This window comes from Homo sapiens, chromosome 18, assembly GCF_000001405.40.
Source record: "Homo sapiens chromosome 18, GRCh38.p14 Primary Assembly".
NCBI lineage: Eukaryota > Metazoa > Chordata > Mammalia > Primates > Hominidae > Homo > Homo sapiens.
Window position 1 is genome coordinate 37,008,971 of NC_000018.10, and position 22,415 is coordinate 37,031,385.

At 37.6% G+C, this 22,415-nt stretch overlaps 1 protein-coding gene across 24 annotated transcripts in view; it reads left to right on the top strand.

The window, feature by feature from the left end:
• Nucleotides 1-22,415, top strand: part of KIAA1328 — a 403,046-nt gene that overhangs the window by 179,844 nt on the left and 200,787 nt on the right. The window contains exons 7-8 of one of the 24 annotated variants that reach the window (NR_136304.2): nucleotides 10,420-10,872; nucleotides 11,179-11,457. The exons of 22 other annotated variants lie outside the window; for them this stretch is intronic. The gene's annotated coding sequence lies outside the window, so the exon portion shown is untranslated. The remainder of the gene's footprint in view (nucleotides 1-10,419; nucleotides 10,873-11,178; nucleotides 11,458-22,415) is intronic. One more of the 24 variants, NM_001353920.2, reaches the window with a different exon arrangement.

The following is a 22,415-nucleotide window of genomic DNA, read 5'->3' on the forward strand; positions in this document are numbered from 1 at the left end:
AAAGATTACATAAACAGAACTAGGAAAGTATAAACAGTTCTCAAAGGAAAAGGCAACTTCTGCAAAGTGTCCTCTTGAAAAGTTCTTCATAAGACACAAATGAGGACACACCTTCTTTTAAAAATCTTAGGAGCATCTGCAAGTATATAGTCAAGAATGTCAATTTAAAGAGTAGGAGATTGTCTTGAAAATAAGGTACTGAAACACTTTCTGTGACAGAGACTGCCATTTTCTTACCTATTATCCATTTTTTTACTATCTTTCTTTCTTAATGCCACTGTTACTGGGAATAACAGTGTCCCTAGTTAAAACCTACATTGCTCAACCTTCTTTGCAGATGGGGTGGCACTGAGGTACAGTTCTGGCTAGTGAGATGTAAGAAGTTTTTCCATAGAGCTTCTAGGAAATCGCCTTAAGAGGATAGAGGGCCAGGGAGAGGGAGTGGATATAGCAGGCACTACTGTTATTCCTCTTTTTGTCTTTTGTCCATTCTCTTTTTTTCTCCAGCAGCTGTCTCAACTAGGGGTGATTTTGACCCCCAGGAGAAATTTGGCAATATCTGGAGATGTTTTTGGTGGTTAAACTGGGGGTTACTATTGTCACCAAGCAAGTTGAGGCCAGGGATATCACTAAACATCCTACAGTGTGCAAGACCATCCACAGAACAAAGAATTATCTGGTCCAAATATCAACAGGTCAATTTGAAAGCCTCTGTTTTGTGGAATGTTGTTCTAATGTTGGAGATTGAGCAACGATTTTATGGATATAAGATGGATAGTCTGTGTCTGAGCCAAAAGATAAAAGAAACTGAAGTCCCTGATGGCATTGTAAGGCTGCTGAAATAGCCCCAGATTTTGTACTTCCAGAGACTTCATTACAAGGAAAAGAAAATACCTGTACCTAATTTGTTTAAGCCAATGAGTTTCTCTTCCCATACATAGTTCGTAATTATCTGAGAGTATTTATTCAGAAAATGTTAGTCATAAAAATTAGGCAGCTGAAATAGAAATTGTTATGAAAAGGCCTTAGGCATTAGAAACACTAAGGAAAAGCTTACCATGATATAGCTGAGCAAAGCGTATCATGGAAAATATACTTGCTGAGTAGAAGAGCATAACATCTTGCAAAATATCAGAATTGCTGGGCTACAGTAATAAATTTGCCTCTTGCTTAGAGAATAAAGATATCTTAAGGCTGGGCACAATGGCTCACCCCTGTAATCCCAGCACTTTGGGAGGCCGAGGCGGGCGGATCACAAGGTCAGAAGTTCGAGACGATTGTGGCCAATATGGTGAAACCCCATCTCTACTAAAAATGCAAAGATTACCTGGGTATGGTGGCAGGCACCTGTAGTCCCAGCTACTCGGGAGGCTGAGGCAGGAGAATCACTTGAACCCAGGAGGTGGAGATTGCAGTGAGCCGAGATTGTGACACTGCACTCCAGCCTGTGCAACAGAGTGAGACACCATCTAAAAAAAAAAAAAAAAAAAAAAAAAAAAAGATATCCTAAAAGGAATTGATACCATTTTGTGGATCTCTTTAATGAGGCAATTTTCTGTTGCTATTAAATGTATTCATTCTGGTGCCAGAATTTGGTCACTCTGCTTAGCTTGGATCACATAAGGACTTAACAAAGTGCTTTAGTCTTCACTGCAGATCCACTAAAGGGAAGGTGATGGAGATAAGCATTGTCTGTACTGTGGAAGAATAAGAGTTAATGTGTTGGTTGGGCTCTTTGAGATCCTTTCTGATTACTGAGGCAACATCAAAGCTAAACATTATGTCTAACCTTGGAACCTGATTAAAATGATACTGTCATTTGAGATTATACCACACTGTGACTTAGGGAATTAAAGCTGTTTGTCTGATTTAAGAGGATAGAGGTGTATATAGCAATAATTGACAGAAACAAAAAAAATGAAATATTCAACATAGAAAAATTTTCTAACCATGAAATTGCTTCATGCTCTCAAGAAAGTGGTAAAATTTTTTGGTTATATGCATGCAGTACCATATTCACTTAAATTATAGCTATGCTACAAGTAGCCATTTGTGAGATACAAGAAGCTTAGTGCACTTGTAAGTTTACAACTGTGACAGCCTAGCTCTCACTGCAGAAATTTAGGGGCTGAAAAACACCCCTAAATCTTCTAATCTTTTCCCTTGCTATTATAGGAAACCGTATGTTAGTAAAAGATATAGATTCTGCCCTAAAGGGTTTCAGTCTAATTAAGGAAACAGTGCATATGTGATCTGTCCACTAATATCTCAAACTTAGCATAGCTATAATTGAACTCTTGATTTTCCTCCCTAACCTGCCACTACATTACCTATCCACCTCAGTAAATGGCATTCCCATTCTTTTTATTTCTTAAGGAAAAAAAGGCTTTGGAGTCATAATTGACTTCTCTCTATTCTCGCACTCCAGATCCAATCCATCACCAAATCCAGTGCACTCTTCATTGTAAATAAATCCCAAGTCCTACCATTTCTTACCAACTTCACTGCTCTCATCCTAATCCAAGTCTACTTTTCACCTGAATTAACTTGTAGGTATTTACCCAAATGAAATGAAAATGTACCTGCACATGAAAGCTGGTATGTGAGTCTTTATAGTGGCTTTATTGATATTCACTAAAAAAAGGAAATAATTTAAATGATCCTACACAGCAATAAAGGGAAATAACTTGGCACGCACAGTATACATACATGAATCTCAAATGCTAAGTGAAAGAAGCCAAACTCAAAAGGTTATATACTGTATGAATACATTTTTATGACATCCCAGAAAAGGAAAACTACAGAGACATAAATCAATGGGCTGAAGTTGGAGGAGAGGTTGATTACACAGGAGCATGGGTAATTTTTAGTGTGATGGAATTACCTTAATTTTTGTGATGATTACCCAGCTGTATTTATCAAAACTTGAAAAATTATACAGTAAGAAAGATGAATATTACTGTGTATAAATTGTACCTGAATTTAGAAAAAGAAAAAAAAAGGCCGCATTTTTAGTAATATCAAAAGATTGTCAGTCAGGATTCAGGATGGGAAATAGAAACTACCTTTGTAGGTATTTTGACAGGAAGGAATGTAATACTTGAAAATAAGTATATTAAATCTTTGAAAGGAACGAAGAAGCGGGTTCTAGGTTAGACTTCCAGTAGTGACTTCAGAACAATATAGAACTAATATACTAAGACAGTAATTCTCTGAGACCAACACTGGAGCTGTGTTGGAATCAGAAGCAATCTATTTGCCACTTTCACAACTGTTTCTGAACACCCAGGAAACTAGAGAATAGACTCCCATCCATGAAATCTAGGCATTTAGAGGCCAGATCGACCAACAAGTCATTGGTGTTTCTGCTGCTTCCACAACTGCTTCTTCTTACCCAGAAAACTAAAATGTATTCCCTGGGATGTCATTGCTGGGAAGAATTTTTATGTTTTCACCATTGTGCTTGCCAGTGGTAACAAAAAGGAAACCTCCAAAATTATGTGAAATAGGCAGAACCTAATTGACTTCCACAGAGCTCTGGCTGCAAGGGAGTGTGGAATATATGATTTATAGATTCCCAAATTTTATAATTATATGGAGGGAAGTAGAGTGAACCAAGCCTCAGTAGTCAACACAGTATCTAACTTTGCATTAATAAGTGACTGTTTAAACAAATTATGGTATCTTACACAGTAGATGAATGATTTAACCAGGCTGTGGGTGTTCTGTAAGCTAGAGACTAATTGCACTCTGGAGTGTAGTTTAATAAATTCTGGTTATTTTAACATTGGACTCTTAAATGTATCCTATAGCAAAGCTAATAATCTATATTGCAGTTTTTGTAATACTGATTTTAAATTTGGCTAAAAGCATAGCTATTTCTTTCTTTTAATTTCCCTGAAAATTTTATTTTATTGTTTCAGAATTGAAAAGTTTATGTCCCTTTTTGGGACAGCATGGGGGTTTATACTCAGTGGAATATCAAAGGCTCATAACATTATAAGAAATGGGGTAAAAATAATAGGGAGGTAATTCTCTATATTGTTTATTTCTGCTGACGTTAGTAACTCCCTGGGTGGCAATCACATATATTTAGAAATTTCATTAACATCTTAAGGCCATTTTGGTGTTAGTTAATAAATTATAGTTTCATCATATTAAAATAGCACCTGGATGGTCAGTCCTGTGGACTTTCAGAGACAGGATAGGGTAGCAAGGCACTAGTATTTGGAATTAGGAACAAGAGCTCAACTAGGGAGTTAGATCACCTAAGTATAATATTTAGTGCCACAATTTACTACTTATATGACCTTTGAAAAATTAAATAATCTATAGACTTCCTCATATATAAAATGGTAATCAACATAGAACATAGAGCTTTTTGTTTTCAACTTTTATTTTTATGGGGTACATGTGCAAGTTTGTTATCTGGATATATTAAATGATGCTGAGGTTTGGGGTACAAACGATCCTGTCACCCAGATACTAAGAATGGTACTTAACAGTTTTTCATACTTTGCCCATCCCCCTCACTCCCCACAGTACTCCCCAGTGTCTATTGTTGCCATCTTCATATCCATGAGTGCCTTATATTTAGCTCCCACTTATAAATGAGAACATGTAGTATTTGGTTTTCTGTTCCTGCATTAATTCACTTAGGAAAATGGCCTCCAACTGCATTCATGTTTCTGCAAAGGACATGATTCCATTCTTTTTATGGCTGTGAGGTATCCCATGGTATACGTGTACCACATTTTCTTTATCTAATTCACTATTGATAGGCATCTAGGTTGATTCCATGTCTTTGCTATTATGAATAGCTCTGTGATGAACATGCAAGTACATGTGCCTTTTTGGTAGAATGATTTATTTTCTTTTGCATACATACCCAGTAATGGGATTGGTTGGTTGAATGGCAGTTCTGTTTTAAGTTTCTTGAGAAATCTCCAGACTGCTTTCTACAGTGGCTGAGCTAATTTACATTCACAGCAACAGTGTATGAACAGTCCTTTTCTCCGCATCCTCGCCAGCATCTGTTTTTTTGTTTACATTTTTACTAATAGTCATTCTGACTGGTGTAAGATGGTATCTCATTGTGGTTTTGATTTTCATTTCTCTGATGATTAGTGATGATGTGAATTTTTTATGTTTGTTGGCCACTTGTGTGTCTTCTTTTGAGAAGTGTCCATTCATGTCTTTTGCCCATTTTTTATGATGGCATTTGGTTTTTGCTTGTTGAATTAAATTCCTTACAAATTATGGATATTAGACCTCTGTTGGTTGCATTGCATGCAAATATTTTCTTCCATTCTGTAGATTGTCTGCTTTCTTTTGATAATTATTTTTGCTCTGCAGACGTTCTTTAGTTTAATTGGATCCAACTTTTGATTTTTGTTTTTGTTGAAATTGCTTCTGAGAACCTAGTTATAAATGCTTTCCCAAGGCCCATGTCCCAAATGATGTTTCTGAGGTTTTCTTCTAGGATTCTGTATTAGTTTGTTCTCGCATTGCTGTAGAGAAATACCTGAGACTGGGTAATTTATAAAGAAGAGTTTTAGTTGGCTTGCAGTTCCTCAGGCTGTACAGGAAGCATGGCAGGACCTGCTTCTGAGGAGGCCTCAGGAAACTTACAATCATGGCAGAAGATGAATGGGAAGCAGGCACATCTTAAATGGCCAGAGCAGGAGGAAGAGAGGGGTCAAGGGAGGTGCTACACACTTTTAGACAACCAAATCTCATGAGAACTTGGGACAGTACCAAGGGGGAAATCCATCCCCATAATACAGTCACCTCCCACCTCCAACACTGGGAATTACAATTCAATGTGAGATTTGGGTGGAGACACCCAAACCGTATCAAATTCAGATCCAAACCATATCAGATTCTTACAGTTTGAGGTCTTACATTTAAATATCCATCTTGAGTTTATATTTTATTTTATTTTATTTTTTTAGACAGAGTCTAGCTCTGTCGCCAGGCTGGAGTGCAGTGGCACGATCTCGGCTCACTGCAACTTCTGCCTCCCGGGTTCAAGTGATTCTCCTGCCTCAGCCTCCTGAGTAGCAGGGATTACAGGCACGCACTGCCATGCCCAGCTAATTTTAGTATTTTTAGTAGAGTCGGGGTTTCACCATGTTGGCCAGGATGGTGTCAATCTCCTGACCTCGTGATCCACCCACCTCAGCCTCCCAAGAGTTAATTTTTGTATACTGTGAAAGGTAGGGATCTAGTTTTGTTCTTCTCCATATGGCTAGTCACTTATCCCAGCACCATTAATTGAACAAGGAGTCTTTCCCATTGCTTGTTTTTGTCAGTTTGTCAAAGATCAGATGGCTCTTGTTGTGTGGACTTATTTCTGGGTTTTCTATTCTGTTCCATTGGTCTACGTGTCTGTTTTTGTACCAGTACCGTGCTGTTTTGGTTACTATATCCTTGTAGTATAGTTTGAAGTCAGGTAGTGTAATGCATCCAACTTTGTTCTTTTTCTTTAGGATTGCTTTGGCTATTCAAGCTCTTTTTTTGGTTTCATATGATTTTAGAGTAGTTTTTTTTCCAATTATGTGAAAAATGACATGACTAGTTTGGTACAAATACTGTCTATCTGTAGATTGCTTTGGGCAGTATGGCCATTTTAACTATATTGATTCTTCTAATCCATGAGCATGGAATGTTTTTTCATTTGTTTGTGTCACTTGTGATTTCTTTCTGCAGTGTTTTGTAGTTCTCCTTGTAGAAATTTTTCACCTCTTGGCTAGATGTATTCCTAGGTATCTTTTTGTGTGTATGAGGCTATTGTAAATGTGATTGTATTCTTGTTTTAGCACTCAGCTTGAACATTGTTGGTGTATAGAAATGCTACTCATTTTTCTAAACTTATTTTGTATCCTAAAACTTTGCTGAAGTCATTTATCAGTTCCAGGAGCCTTTTGATGGAGTCTTTAGGGTTTCCTGGATATAGAATCATATGGTCCATGAGGAGAGAGAGTTTGACTTCTTTTCCTATTTGATTGCCTTCTATTTCTTTCTCTTGCCTGATTGCTGTGGCTAGCACTTCCAGTACTATGTTGAGTAAGAGTGGTAAGAGTGAGTATCCTTGTTTTGTTTCAGTTATCAAGGGGAATGCTTCCGGTTTTTGCCTGTTTAGCATGGTGATAGTTGTAGCTTTGTCTTAGATAGCTCTTATTATTTTGAGGAATGTTCCTTTAATGCCTAGTTACTTTAGGGTTTTATCATGGAGTGATGTTGGATTTTATTGAAAGCTATTTTGCATCTATCGAGATGATCATATGGTTTTTGTTTTTAATTCTGTTTATGTGGTAAATCATAGTTATTAAATTGTATTTGTTGAACCAACCTTGCATCCCAGGAACAAAGCCTACTTGATCATAGTGAATTAACTTTTGTTATGATTTTGTTCAGGATTTTTATGTCTGTCTTCATCAGAGACATTGGCCCGTAGTTTTTATTTTTCATTGTATCTGTATCAGATTCTGGTATCAGGATGATATTGGCTTTGTAAAGTCCCTCCTCCTTGATTTTTAGTAAAAACAGTTTCAGTAGAATTGGTACCAGCTCTTCTTTATATGTCTGGTAGAAATCAACTGTGAATCCATCTGGTCTGGGGCTTTTTGTTTGTTTGTTTGTAGGCTTTTTATTACTGATTCAATTTCAAAACTCAATATTGTTCTGTTCAGTGTTTCAGTTTCTTCCTGATTCAATTTTGGGAGATTGTGTGTTTCCAGGAATTTCTCCATTTCCTCTAGATTTTCTAGTTTATGTGAGAAGAAGTGTTCACAGTAGTGTCTGAGGATCTTTTGTATTTCTGTGGTATTGGTTGTGATGTCACCTTTGTTGGTTCTGTTTGTACTTACTTGGATCTTCTCTCTTCTTTTCTTTATTAATCTAGCTAACATTCTACCAATCTTGTTTATCCTTTCAAATAACCAATGTTTGGTTTCATCAATTCTTTGTATGGATTTTTGGGCCTCAATTTCATTCAGTTCCACTCTGATTTTAGTTACTTCTTTTCTTCTGCCAGTTAGGGATTAGTTTGCTCTTGTTTCTCTAGTTCCTCTAGGTGTGATGTTAGATCATTAATTTGAGATCTTCCTAACTTTTTGAGGTCATTTACGACTTTAAACTTTTCTCTTAACATGGCTTTTGCTGTATCTCAGATGTTTTGGTATGTCTCCTTTTTCATTTATTTCAAAGAATTTTTTTATTTCTGCCTTGATTTTGTCATTTACCCAAAAGTCCTTCAGGAGCAAGTTGTTTAATTTCTATGTAATTGTGTGGTTTTCAGAGGTCTTCTGATATTATAATAATTTCTATTTTCATTCCACAGTGGTCTGAAAGTATGGTTGATACGATTTCAATTTTTTTAATTTATTGAGACTTGCTTTACTGTTAAGAATGTAGTCAATCTTTTAGTATGTTCTGTATGCAGATGAGAAGAATGTATATTCTGTGGTTGATGGGTCATGTACTCTATAGATTTTTATTACATCCAATTGTTCAGGTGTGAAGTTTAAGTCCAGAATTTCTTTGTTAGTTTTCTGCCTCAGTGATCTGTCTTATGCCGTCACTAGGGTGTTGAAGTCCTCCAATACTATTGTGTGACTGTTTAAGTTTTTTCATAGGTTTAGAAGTACTTGTTTTTGTGAATCTGGGTGCTCCAATGTTGTGTATATCTATACTTAGGATAGTTAAGATTTATCTAATTGAACCCTTTATTGTTATAGAATGCCTTTCTGTCCTTTTTTAGGATTATTAGTTTAAACTCTGTTTTGTCAGGTATTAGAATAGTGACCCCTTCTCTTTTTTTGTTTTCTATTTATGCGGTACATCTTTCTCCAATCCTTTACTTTGATCCTATCAGTATCATTATGTGTGAGATGGATCTCTTGAAGACAGTAGATGTATAGGTCTTGTATTTTTCTCCAACTTTGTCACTCTGTGCCTTTTAAGTGGGTCATTTAGACCATTTATATTCAAGGTTAATATTGATATATGAGGTTTTGATCCTATCTTGAAGTTGTTCAGCTGGTTGCCTTGTACTTTCTATTGTGTTTTTGGTTTATAGTCTCGTGGGTTATGTACTTAGGTGTGTTTTTGTGGTCACAGGTATCATTTTTTGTTTCCATACTTAGAACTCCCGTAAGGCTCTCTTGGAAGGCTGGTCTAGTGGTAATGAATTTCCTTAGTGCTTGCTTGTCTGGAAAAGATTTTATTTCTCCTTTACCGCACAAACTGAAGTTTGGTGGGATGTCATATTCTTCCCTGGAATTTTTTTCTTTCCTTAAGAATGCTGAAAATAGGCTCCCAATCTCTCCTGGCCTGTAAGGTTTCTGCAAAGAAGCCCACTGTTAGCCTGATGAGGTTCCCTTTTTTTGTGATTCATTCTTTTTCTCTAGCTGCCTTTAAGATTTTTTTCATTTAGCATTGACCTTGAACCTTCTGACTATTATATACCTTGGTGATTATTTAGTATAGTATCTTCCAGGTGATCTCTGGATTTCTTGTCTGCATGTCTACCTTTCTGGCATAATTAAAGAAGTTTTTTTGAACTGTTTCCTCAAGTATATTTTCCAGATTGTTTCCTTTTTATCCTATCTCAGGAATGCTAATAATTGGAAGGTTTGGTTTCTTTACATAATCCCAAGGTTCTCACAGACTTTTGCCAGACTGGGTTAGTTAGAAAGATCAGTCCTCAATCTCTGAAACAGTTTCTTCTGCTTAGTCCAGTCTATTGATAAAGCTTTCATTTGTATTTTGAAATTCCTTAAGTGAGTTTTTCAATTCCAGAGGCACTGAATGATTTTTTTTTTAATGATTTTTATGTCTTTTTTCATTTCCTAGATTGCTCTAGAAGTTTCTTTGTTTTCATTTTTAACCTTGTCTTGAATCTCATCGACCTTCCTTGCAAGCCATGCTTTGGATTCTTTATCTGCCATTTCTAAGTTTCTGTTTTGGTTACAGACCATTGCTGGAGAGTTAGTTCAGTACTTTTGTGGTATCATTACATTCAAATTTTTCATAGTGCCAGAATTCATGCTCTGATTCCTTCTCATCTGATGATGCTGGCACTTCTAATTTTTTGTAATTATTTTTGTGCAGGCAGGATATTTTCTTTTTTCCTATGGTGTTATTGTTGTTGTTTTATTTTTTTCTTTACCTTTTCCTGCCCCCTCCTCCCCACCCCCCTCCGAGTGTGACTGTGGAGAATGCTGAGTAGGGTCTTTTGGCTTTTGGCTTTGCTTCAGTAGCCCTGTGCACTTCTTTTGGCAGGTTTTATATTTGGCTGTGCAGTTCATCCTACGAGCCCATAGATGGCACTTATAGGTCAGAGCTTGCTGCAGCCAATATGACTGGGTGTATACTTGATCCTTGTTTACTGGCAGAAGTTCTCTGTTGCCTTAGGCAATGAGCTGGTTCATGGAATGCACAGTGGTGTGAGCTCCCTGATCAACCTCACGGTGCCGGGAGGCAAGAACCAGGAACAACAGATCTGGACCAGGCAGGTACACCTACAGATCCCCTGATGGCAGGCACAAGCACCAGTGCCTACGGGGATGGCCACCATGTGCTCAGAGATGTGCCTAGGCATTGAACTGTGAAACCTCCTTGGCTCCAAGTTCTCTGCATGGGGATGGGCAGCAACTTACACTCTTAATCCAAGTGGGTGTTCCAGATGTCTTGACTATCCACCTGGGCGTGGAACAGAGAAGGCCCCATGCACCAAGATCTCTGCATAGGAGGTGTGGAGTGTCTCAGACTGCTGGAAGAGGCAAGCAGTTTCTTTGAATGCCTGGAGATCTGCCTGGGCATGGAGTGTAGAGGGTTTCGCTATACCATGACCTATGTCCAGGAAAGGTAAGGTGGCTCAGGCTGCTGAAACAGATGAGTGGGTACAACAAATGTCTGATGATTTGCCTGGGCATGAAGGAGAGAGGGTCTTCCTGTACCAGGATGTTCACACAGGAAGGGTGGGGGATGGGGGCCAGTCTACTGGTCCAGGTGAGTGATGCTCCAAATGCGTGGAGATCTGCCTCAGCACGGAGCAGAGGGCCCTTTTGCACGAAGATCTCTGCACAGGTGGGGTGGGGTGATTAAGGCTGCTGGACACAGCTAGCAGGTGAAACATAGGTATTTCTTTTTTTTTTCTTTTTTTGGAGACAGAGTCTCACCCTGTTGCCCAGGCTGGAGTGCAATGGTGCTATCTCGACTCACTGCAATGTCTGCCTCCCGCGTTGAGCGATCCTCCTGCCTTAGCCTCCCAAGTAGCTGAGATTACAGGCACATGCCACCACGCCTGGCTAATTTTTGTATTTTTAGTAGAGACAGGGTTTCACTATGTTGGCCAGGCTGGTCTTGAACTCTTGACCTCAGGTTATCCACCCATGTTGGCCTCCCAAAATGCTGGGATTACAGGCGTGAGCCACCACGCCCAGCCGAAACGTAAGTATTTCTTAAAAATAGTTAAATAACTTCTCTCATGCAAAATTAACTTGAAAGTTTACAGCGCATGTTAGATTTCCTAATATTCAGAATACTGTATATAAATTTAGACGAACAGGAATTTTTCAGAATGGTAAACAGTATGTAAGAGAACTGTACCAGCTTCCTTTGTAAAGGAAATCAGCTACAGATAAATGATCAATTTTATGTAGAATCAGTGGCAAATATGTAATAGAATTTAATCCTGTCTCTTGGCTGTGAAATGCAAACATTGCTTTCCAGAAGGTGTATGGATCACCTTTTAAAGGAATGGCCTGATGGCATCCTTTCAGATATCATCTGCTCGAAATAGTTTGTGTATGTCCATGTTCCTGTTTGCACATACGCACGTAGGAATGACTGAGTTGGCTCATTCAAAACTAAAGCTTCAGGGAAAAGTACTTTAGTCTGTGAACACAAGTCTTGTGTTAATTTCTGCCCTTCTTACCCCCACAGAATAAAAATTCAACTTTTAAAGTATTTTGAAATAAAAAATAAGCTGCCTCATTTTAAAGTGTACCTTTAATGAGATTAGAGTGAATTGCCTGAGAAGCTAAATGACCAGACTTGCCCTAACAGATTTTAATTATTTGTATAGGACTCCCCAAATGAAGACTCACAATAGCCATTTTAACTATACTAGAGCTGCTCTTTCATCTTCATTACAAGCTTCAGACCCTAAACAAAGCATGAAGCTGGGCAGTGCACTGTTTAATTTCAAATTGGATTTTTCATTATGTTTTATGATAACTTTTTATTTTTATCAAGTTGAATCTCAGCCTTCTGTTAGACTCAAGAAGATTTATAGCATATGATCTGTGTACTTATTTGGACAAACAAATGCAATAAATCAGCCTATTCTTTTCAATAAAATGTTATTAATAGAACACATTATTCTGTTCGATATTATGTTATCTTTAAAATTAAGCAGAACATTAGTGGCAATGAAACTAGTTTCAATCAATATGTTCTTATAATGAAACCTATTGTATGAGAAACTTTTCTTTTTAAAGAGGAAAAATGCCCTTAGCACAACAACCAAATTCTGACTCTCAATATGGCATTTCACAGCTTCTATGAATTATTTATTAGGATTTCTTTGCATTTGTTTTGGTATTTACAATAGTTTCTTGAAAGTTACCATGAAGCAGTTAGAACATGAATGTTCCTTAAATGATATTTTTTTAAGTGAGGAATTGGGGTCTCCTCTCTTGGCTTTGGAACCCCCCTCCCTCTGTCTCTGTACAGGGGAGCTTCTTCTTTTTTCTCTTTTCTTTCTTGTCTATTAAACTTTCTGCTCCTTAAAACCAAAAAAAATACCCAGCACTTTGGGAGGCCGGGGCAGATGGATCACGAGGTCAGGAGATCAAGACCATCCTGGCTAACACAGTGGAACCCCGTCTCTACCAAAAAAATACAAAAAATTAGCTGGACATGGTGGCGGGTGACTGTAGTCCCAGCTACTCAGGAGGCTGAGGCAGGAGAATGACGTGAACCCAGGAGACAGAGCTTGCAGTGAGCCGAGATCGTGCCACCGCACTCCTGCCTGTGCAACAGAGTGAGACTCTGTCTCATAAATTAATTAATTAATTAAAATAAAATAAAATAAAATAAAATAAAACAAACAAATTGAGGAATTTACTTTGCACTTGACCTGGCAGGAACCTTAGCATGTGCCTCATTGAAATTAAAGTGGGAGAGGATTTTAAGAAAGGCAGACCGGCTGTTAACGCTCAGGAACATAAGAATTGTCCATTTCTCTTTTAGTCTGATAGAGTGTCTGGTTAAATTTCTTCATGGATGAAAAATGAGTAGTATTCAGATAAGGAAGGTATAGATTTTAATATTTTAAAACTCATATAATAAGAAAACAGGATTAGAACCGTGGTTTAGACCCTAATCACCCACTATACTCCCAGTTTAAATTTTAGAATTATGGCTTTAAAAGGAAAAGTGTCTGAAGTCTCAGTATAGAATTATAGTTTTAGGAGACCTACATGATCCTTTTGGAAAACTGAACAGGCTGGGGCATTGTTCTGTTAACTGGTGTGACAGCAAAGTTCCCTTACAGAAGGCTGATATTTAATAATATGACCTGGAAAGTGAAGACCTTTGGGTGTTAAATTGCATATATCTTCCAATAAAAAACTCTGAAAAATAATTTATAATTCCTTTTGCTTCATACATTGTATTTTACATGGCTGTTTAAGGAATCTAGAGACCTATCATAGTGTCAAATTTACTCCCATAGCTTCTGCAATTTCTTATATTTAATCTGAAAATAAGAACTAGAGACATTCTTCTACTGCGGTTTTGCTCTCATTAAATTGTTAAGAAATTGTTGTATGGACAGATGAGAATCATATTAAGATGAAAAAATATTTATGAAAATTTAAGCCATCACACATTCTGTTGGCTTTAGGATAGAGTTTCCTTAGTCCCTCAGGAAAATAATTTGAGTATATTGCTATACAAGTCTCTTACAGTAAATAAGTAAACTCTACAGTCACTGAATACCACTGCTAACATCTTATAAACAATCACACTCTCCTCATGTGTATTTTTTCTCTTCTTATTTTTTAGAGACAGGGTCTCACTCTGTGGCCCAGGCTAGAGTGCAGTGGCACAATCATGGCTCACTGTAGCTTCAACTTTCTGGGCTCAAGTGATCCTCCTGCCTTGGCCTCCCCAAGTGCTGGGATTACAGGCATGAGCCACCACACTTGGACTTCTTCTGTATTTTATTTTATTTTTATTTATTTATTTGGGACAGGGTCTTGCTCTGTTGCCCAGGCTGGTGTGCTATGGCATGAGCAGGACTCACTACAGCCTTGAATTCCTGGAGTCAAGCGATGCTCCCACCTCAGCCCCCCAAGTAGCTGGGACTGCAGGCATGTGCCACTAAGCCAGACTAATTTTTTTTTTAATTTTAGAAGAGAGAAGATCTCACTATGTTACCCAGGCTCCTTTTCTGTATTGCAAATGTAGAAGATCTTCGTATTTTTTTCATACAGGGAGAGACCGGTTAGAATCTATTTTGGAGTTTTAGTGTCATTTTACTGCATAAGATGGCAGTAAACTTGATTGTAGCTTTTTCCATTCTTAGTTCTACCTCAAAGCTATTAAATATTACATTTCTGAAAGAAGATTCATTTTTGTTTTATTCACATCTGGGAAGACCTGTCAACCATTGGGTTTACTTTCCATACAGCTGACAAGGATTGTATGTGGACACTTTGGCAGCAGAGTGGCAAGAAGCAACTGATTACTTCATTATCTCTGCAGTGTCCCCCCATGACAGTTGAACATCATCTGTATTTATTTATTTATTTATTTGTTTTTCCAACTTACATTTTAGGTTCCAAGGGTACATATACAGTTTTCTTACATGGGTAAATTGTATGTAATGGGGGTTTGGTGTACAGATTATTTTGTCACCCAGGTAATAAGCATAGTATCCAACAGATAGTTTTTCAATCTTCACTCTCCTCCAGTCTTTTACCCTCAAGTAAGTCCTTCTTTCTATTATTCCCTTCTTTTTTGTGTATGTGACAAAGTCTTGGTCTGATGCCAGGCTGGAGTGCAGTTGCATGAACACGGCTTACTGTAGCCTCAACCTCCTGGGTTCAAGCACTCCTCCTGCCTCAGCCTCCACAGTAGCTGGGACAGACACATTCCACCATGCCCTGCTGATTTTTTAAATTTTTTGTGGAGATGGGGTACTGCTATGTTGATCGGGCTGGTCCTGAACGAATGAACTCTTGGGTCAGGCAGTCTTCCTACCTCGGACTCCCAAAATGCTGCAATTACAGGCATGAGCCACCATGCCTGGCCTGTTATTCCTTTCTTTGTGTCCATGTGTTCTCTTTTTTTATGTATATATTTATTATTTATTTATTTACTTTATTTTATATATATATATTTATTATACTTTAAGTTCTAGGGCACACGTGCACAATGTGCAGGTTTGTTAAATATGTATACATGTGCCAGGTTGGTGTGCTGCACCCATTAACTCATCATTTACATTAGGTATATCTCCTAATGCTATCCCTTGCCCCTCCCCCCACCCCACAACCAGCCCCGGTGTGTGATGTTCCCCTTCCTGTGTCCAAGTGTTCTTATTGTTCAATTCCCATCTATGAGTGAGAACATGCGGTGTTTGGTTTTCTGTCCTTGCGATAGTTTGCTGAGAATGATGGTTTCCAGCTTCATCTGTGTACCTACAAAGGACATGAACTCATCATTTTTTATTGCTGCATAGTATTCCATGGTGTATATGTGCCATATTTTCTCAATCCAGTCTATCATTGTTGGACATTTCGGTTGGTTCCAAGTCTTTGCTATTGTGAATAGTGATGCAAAAAACATACATGTGCATGTGTCTTTATAGCAGCATGATTTATAATCCTTTGGGTATATACTCAGTAATGTGATGGCTGGGTCAAATGGTATTCCTAGTTCTAGATCCCTGAGGAATTGCCACACTGTCTTCCACAGTGGTTGAACAAGTTTACAGTCCCAGCAACAGTGTAAAAGTGTTCCTATTTCTCCATATCCTCTCCAGCACCTGTTGTTTCCTGACTTTTTAATGATCACCATTCTAACTGGTATGAGATGGCATCTCATTGTGGTTTTGATTGAATTTCTCTGATGGCCAGTGATGATGAGCATTTTTTCTGAAGGGATCAATTCAACAAGAAGAGCTATCCTAAATATATATGCACCCAATACAGGAGCACCCAGATTCATAAAGCAAGTCCTCAGAGACCTACAAAGAGACTTAGACTCCCACGCAATAATAATGGGAGACTTTAACCCCCCACTGTCAACATTAGACAGATCAACGAGTCAGAAAGCTAACAAGGATATCCAGGACTTGAACTCAGCTCTGCACCAAGTGAACCTAATAGACATATACAGAACTCTCCACCCCAAATCAACAGAATATGCATTCTTCTCAGCATCACATTGCACTTATTCCAAAATTGACCACATAGTTGGAAGTAAAGCACTCCTCAGCAAATGTAAAAGAACAGAAATTATAACAAACTGTCTCTCAGACCACAGTGCAATCAAACTAGAGCTCAGGATTAAGAAACTCACTCAAAACCGCTCAACTACATGGAAACTGAACAACCTGCTCCTGAATGACTACTGGGTACATAACGAAATGAAGGCAGAAATAAAGTTGTTCTTTGAAATTAACGAGAACAAAGACAAAACATACCAGAATCTCTGGGACATATTCAAAGCAGTGTGTAGAGGGAAATTTATAGCACTAAATGCCCACAAGAGAAAGCAGGAAAGATCTAAAATTGACACCCTAACATCGCAATTAAAAGAACTAGAGAAGCAAGAGCAAACACATTCAAAAGCTAGCAGAAGGCAAGAAATAACTAAGATCAGAGCAGAACTGAAGGAAATAGAGACACAAAAAACCCTTCAAAAAATCAATGAATCCAGGAGCTGGTTTTTTGAAACAGTCAACAAAATTCATAGACCGCTAGCAAGACTAACAAAGAAGAAAAGAGAAGAATCCAATAGACGCAATAAAAAATGATAAAAGGGGATATCACCACCAATCCCACAGAAATACAAACTGCCATCAGAGGATACTATAAACAACTGTATGCAAATAAACTAGAAAATCTAGAAGAAATGGATAAATTTCTCGACACATACACCCTCCCAAGACTAAACCAGGAAGAAATTGAATCTCTGAATAGACCAATAACAGGCTCTGAAATTCAGGCAATAATTAATAGCTTACCAACAAAAAAAGTCCAGGACCAGATGGATTCACAGCCAAATTCTACCCAGAGGTACAAGGAGGAGCTGGTACCATTCCTTCTGAAACTATTCCAATCAATAGAAAAAGAAGGAATCCTCCCTAACTCATTTTATGAGGCCAACATCATCCTGATACCAAAGCCTGGCAGAGACACAACAAAAAAAGAGAATTTTAGACCAATATCCCTGATGAACATCGATGCAAAAATCCTCAATAAAATACTGGCAAACCGAATCCAGCAGCATATCAGAAAGCTTATCCACCATGACCAAGTGGTCTTCATCCCTGGGATGCAAGACTGGTTCAACATATGCAAATCAATAAATGTAATCCATTGTATAAATAGAACCAAAGACAAAAACCACATGATTATCTCAATAGATGCAGAAAAGGCCTTTGACAAAATTCAACAGCCCTTCATGCTAAAACCTCTCAATGAACTAGGTATTGATGGGATGTATCTGAAAATCATAAGAGCTTTTTATGACAAACCCACAGCCAATATCATACTGAATGGGTAAAAACTGGAAGCATTCCCTTTGAAAACTGGCACAAGACAGGGATGCCCTCTCTCACCACTCCTATTCAACACAGTGTTGGAAGTTCTGGCCAGGGCAATCAGGTAGAGAAAGAAATAAAGGGTATTCAATTAAGAAAAAAGGCAGTCAAATTGTCCCTGTTTGCAGATGACATGATTGTATATCTAGAAAACCCCATCTTCTCAGCCCAAAATCTCCTTAAGCTGATAAGCAACTTTAGCAAAGTCTCTGGATACAAAATCAATGTGCAAAAATCACAAGCATTCTTTACACCAATAACAAACAGAGAGCCAAATCATGAGTGAACTCCTATTCACAATTGCTTCAAAGAGAATAAAATACCTAGGAATCCAACTTACAAGGGACGTGAAGGACCTCTTCAAGGAGAACTACAAACCACTGGTCAACGAAATAAAAGACGACACAAACAAATGGAAGAACATTCCATGCTCATGGATAGGAAGAATCAATATAGTGAAAATGGCCATATTGCCCAAGGTAATTTATAGATTCAATGCCATCCCCATCAAGCTACCAATGACTTTCTTCACAGAATTGGAAAAAACTACTTTAAAGTTCATATGGAACCAAAAAGAGCCCACATTGCCAAGTCAATCCTAAAACAAAAGAACAAAGCTGGAAGCATCACGCTACCTGACTTCAAACTATGCTACAAGGCTACAGTAACCAAAACAGCATGGTGCTGGTACCAAAACAGAAATATAGACCAATGCAACAGAACAGAACCCTCAGAAATAATACCACATATCTACAGCCATCTGATCTTTGACAAACCTGACAAAAACAAGAAATGGGGAAAGGATTCCCTATTTAACCAATGGTGCTGGGAAAACTGGCTAGCCATATGTAGAAAGCTGAAACTGGATCCCTTCCTTACCCCTTATACAAAAATTAATTCAAGATGGATTAAAGACTTACATGTTAGACCTAAAACCATAAAAACCCTAGAAGAAAACCTAGGCAATACCATTCAGGACATAGGCATGGGCAAGGACTTCATGTCTAAAACACCAAAAGCAATGGCAACAAAAGCCAAAATTGACAAATGGGATCTAATTAAACTAAAGAGCTTCTGCACAGCAAAAGAAACTACCATCAGAGTGAACAGGCAACCTACAGAAAATTTCTGCAATCTACTCATCTGACAAAGGGCTAATATCCAGAATCTACAAAGAACTCAAACAAATTTACAAGAAAAAAACAACCCCATCAAAAAGTGGGTGAAGGATATGAACAGACACTTCTCAAAAGAAGACATTTATGCAGCCAACAGACACATGAAAAAATGCCCATGTGTTCTCAATGTTAGCTCCTACTTGTACGTGAGAACATGTGGTATTTGGTTTTCTGTTCCTCCATTATATTCATTTAGAGTAATGACCTCTAGCTCCATCTGTGTGTTTTATCATTCTTATAGAGATCTTTTACCTTCCTGATTAGCTGTATTCGAAAATATTTTATTTTTTGTGTATGGTTTTTGTGATTGGATTGCATTCTTGATTTGGCCCTCAGCTTGGATGTTGTTGGTGAACAGAAATGCTACTGATTATTCTATATTGAATTTGTATCCTGAAACTTTGTTGAAGTTGTTTATCTAGGAGCTTTAGGGCAGAGACTAGGATTTTCTAGATATAAAAACATATAGTCTGTGAAAAGAGATAGTTTGACTTCCTCTCTTCCTGGTTAGATGCCTTTTTTTTTTTCTTGCCTGATTGCTCTGGCTAGTGCTTCCACTACTGTGTCAAATAGGAGTGGCGAAAATGGATGTCCTTGTCTTGTTCTGGTTTGCAAGGGTAATGTTTCCAGCTTTTTCCCATTAGTATGATGCTGGCTGTGGGTTTATCATAGATGGCTCTTTTTATTTTGAAGTGTGTTCCTTCAATGCCTAGTTGTTGAGGGTTTTTAAGATGAAGGGATAAATTTTATTGAAAATCTTTTCTGTGTCTAATGAGGTGATCATGTGGTTTTTGGTTTTAGTTCTGTTTATGTGATGAATCGTATGTATTAAGTTGCATATGTTGAACCAACCTTGTATTTCAGTAATAAAGCCAGCTTGATTGTGGTGGATTAGCTTTTTGAGGTGCTGCTGGATTTGGTTTGCTAGTGTTTTGTTGAGGATTTTTGCAACTATGTTCATCAGGGATGTTTTCCTGAAGTGTTTTGTTGTTGTGTCTCTGCCAGATTTTGGCGTCAGAATTATATTAGCCTTATAGAATGAGTTAGGGTCAAAGTCCCTCCTACTTGATTTTTTGGAATAGTTTCAGTAGGATTGGTACCAGCTCTTCTTTGTATGTCTGGTAGAATTCACCTGTGGATCCATCTTCCCCAGGGCTTTTTCTGGTTGGTAGGCTTTTTATTAATGATTTAATTTTGAAACTCAATATTTTTTTTTCAGGGTTTCAGTTTCTTCCTGGTTCAATCTTAGGAGGTTGTATATTTTCAGGAATTTATCCATTTCTTCTGGGTTTTCCAGTTTGTGTGCCTAGGGGTGTTTGTAATAGTCTCTGAGAGTTTTATTTGGGATTGGTGGCAATGTCTGCCTCGTCATTTCTGATTGTACTTATTATTATTGAGACAAGGTCTCACTGTGTCGCCCAGGCTGCAGTGCAGTGGCATGATCTCAGTTCACTGCAACTTCCACCTCCCGGGCTCGAGTTATCCTCCCACCTCAGCCTCCTGAGTATCTGGGACCACAGACAAGCACCACCATGAGTGGCTAATTTTTTGTAGAGACAGGGTTTCACCGTGTTGCCAGGTACGTGTCAAGTTTTTTGAGAATTGTTTTATGTCTGAGTGTGTGGTCAGTTTTAGAGTATGTACCAAGTGCAGACATCTATATTTATATGGGATATTAATCTGTAGTTCTGTTTTCTTTTGGTAATTTTGTCTGGTTTGGGATGAGGGTAATTCTGGCTTTGGTAAATCTGCTGGAAACTGTTTTCTCCTTTTTCCGTATTCTCAGTTGATCCATGACCTTTTCTTTTTAGAATGATTGATATTCACCACTGAAGCCATCAGGAATGGACTTTTTTGTGAGAATATTTTTAATTACTATGTCAATTTCTGTAATTTATGTGGGATATTAAGATTTTCTATTTTGTCTTCAGTCAATTTGGTAGTTTCTGTCTTTCAAGGAATTTGTCCATTTCATTTTGGATGTTATATGTAGTATAATTCAGCATGCATAACATTCCTTTATTATCTTAATATCTGTGGCACTTGTATCTATTTGCCACTTTTTCATTTTTGATTTTTATTATGCACATCTATTTTCTGGATCAATTTCATTGATTTTTTTTAACAAAACATCTTTTATTAGATTTTCTCTGTTGTTTCTTTTCTGTTTCATTTGTTTCTGCCCTTATGTTTATTTTTCCTTCATTCATATTTTTTTCAGTTATAATTTGCATTTCTTTCCTAACTTGCTAGGACGAGAATTTAGATTATTGATTTGAAATGTAATTTCTTTTCTAATATAAACATTTAAAGCTATAAATTTCCCTCTAAGAACTCCATTAGCTATATTTTATTGTTTTAATTTTGATTAATTTCAAAATATTTTCTAAGTATTCTTGTTATTTCCTCTTTGAACAGTTTATAGTCATAAGATTCTTAATTTCCAGTTATTGCCCAATCTCTGACAGCTTTCTGTAATGTATTTCTAATTTAATTCCCTTATTGTCAGAAAATGTGTCTTCCACAATTTCAATATCTTGAAATTATTGAGGCTTGAAATTATTCACCATATCATATGATCTGGCCAATTTTGGTAAATCTTTAATCTGCATGAAAAATAATATAATCAGCAATTATTGGATATAGTATTCTGTTTATCAGTAGGGTCAATATTTTTCTTTCTTTTTATTTATTTATTTATTATACTTTAAGTTCTAGGGTACATGTGCACAACGTGCAGGTTTGTTACATATGTATACATGTGCCATGTTGGTGTGCTGCACCCATTAACTCATCATTTACATTAGATATTTCCCCTAATGCTATCCCTCTCCTATGCCCCCACCCCCCGACAGGCCCCAGTGTGTGATGTTCCCCGCCCTGTGTCCAAGTCTTCTCATTGTTCAATTCCCACCTATAAGTGAGAACATGTGGTGTTTGGTTTTCTGTCCTTGGGATAGTTTGCTCAGAATGATGGTTTCCAGCTTCATCCATGTCACTACAAAGGACATGAACTCATCATTTTTTATGGCTGCATAGTATTCCATGGTGTATATGTGCCACATTTTCTTAATCCAGTCTATCATTGATGGACATTTTGGTTGGTTCCAAGTCTTTGCCATTGTGAATAGTGCCGCAATAAACATATGTGTGCATGTGTCTTTATAGTAGCATGATTTATAATCCTTTGGGTATATACCTTTATAGTGTTGTTCAGGTCTTCTGTATGCCTATTGAATTTTAGTATACTTTTTCCATCAGTTACTAAGGGAGATCTTTGGAATTTCCAACCATGATTGTGGGGTTTTTTTTCCTTTCCGTCTTTCCACTATGTATCTTGAATTTAGCTATTAGATTCATTCAAATTTAGGATTATTATATAGTCTTGG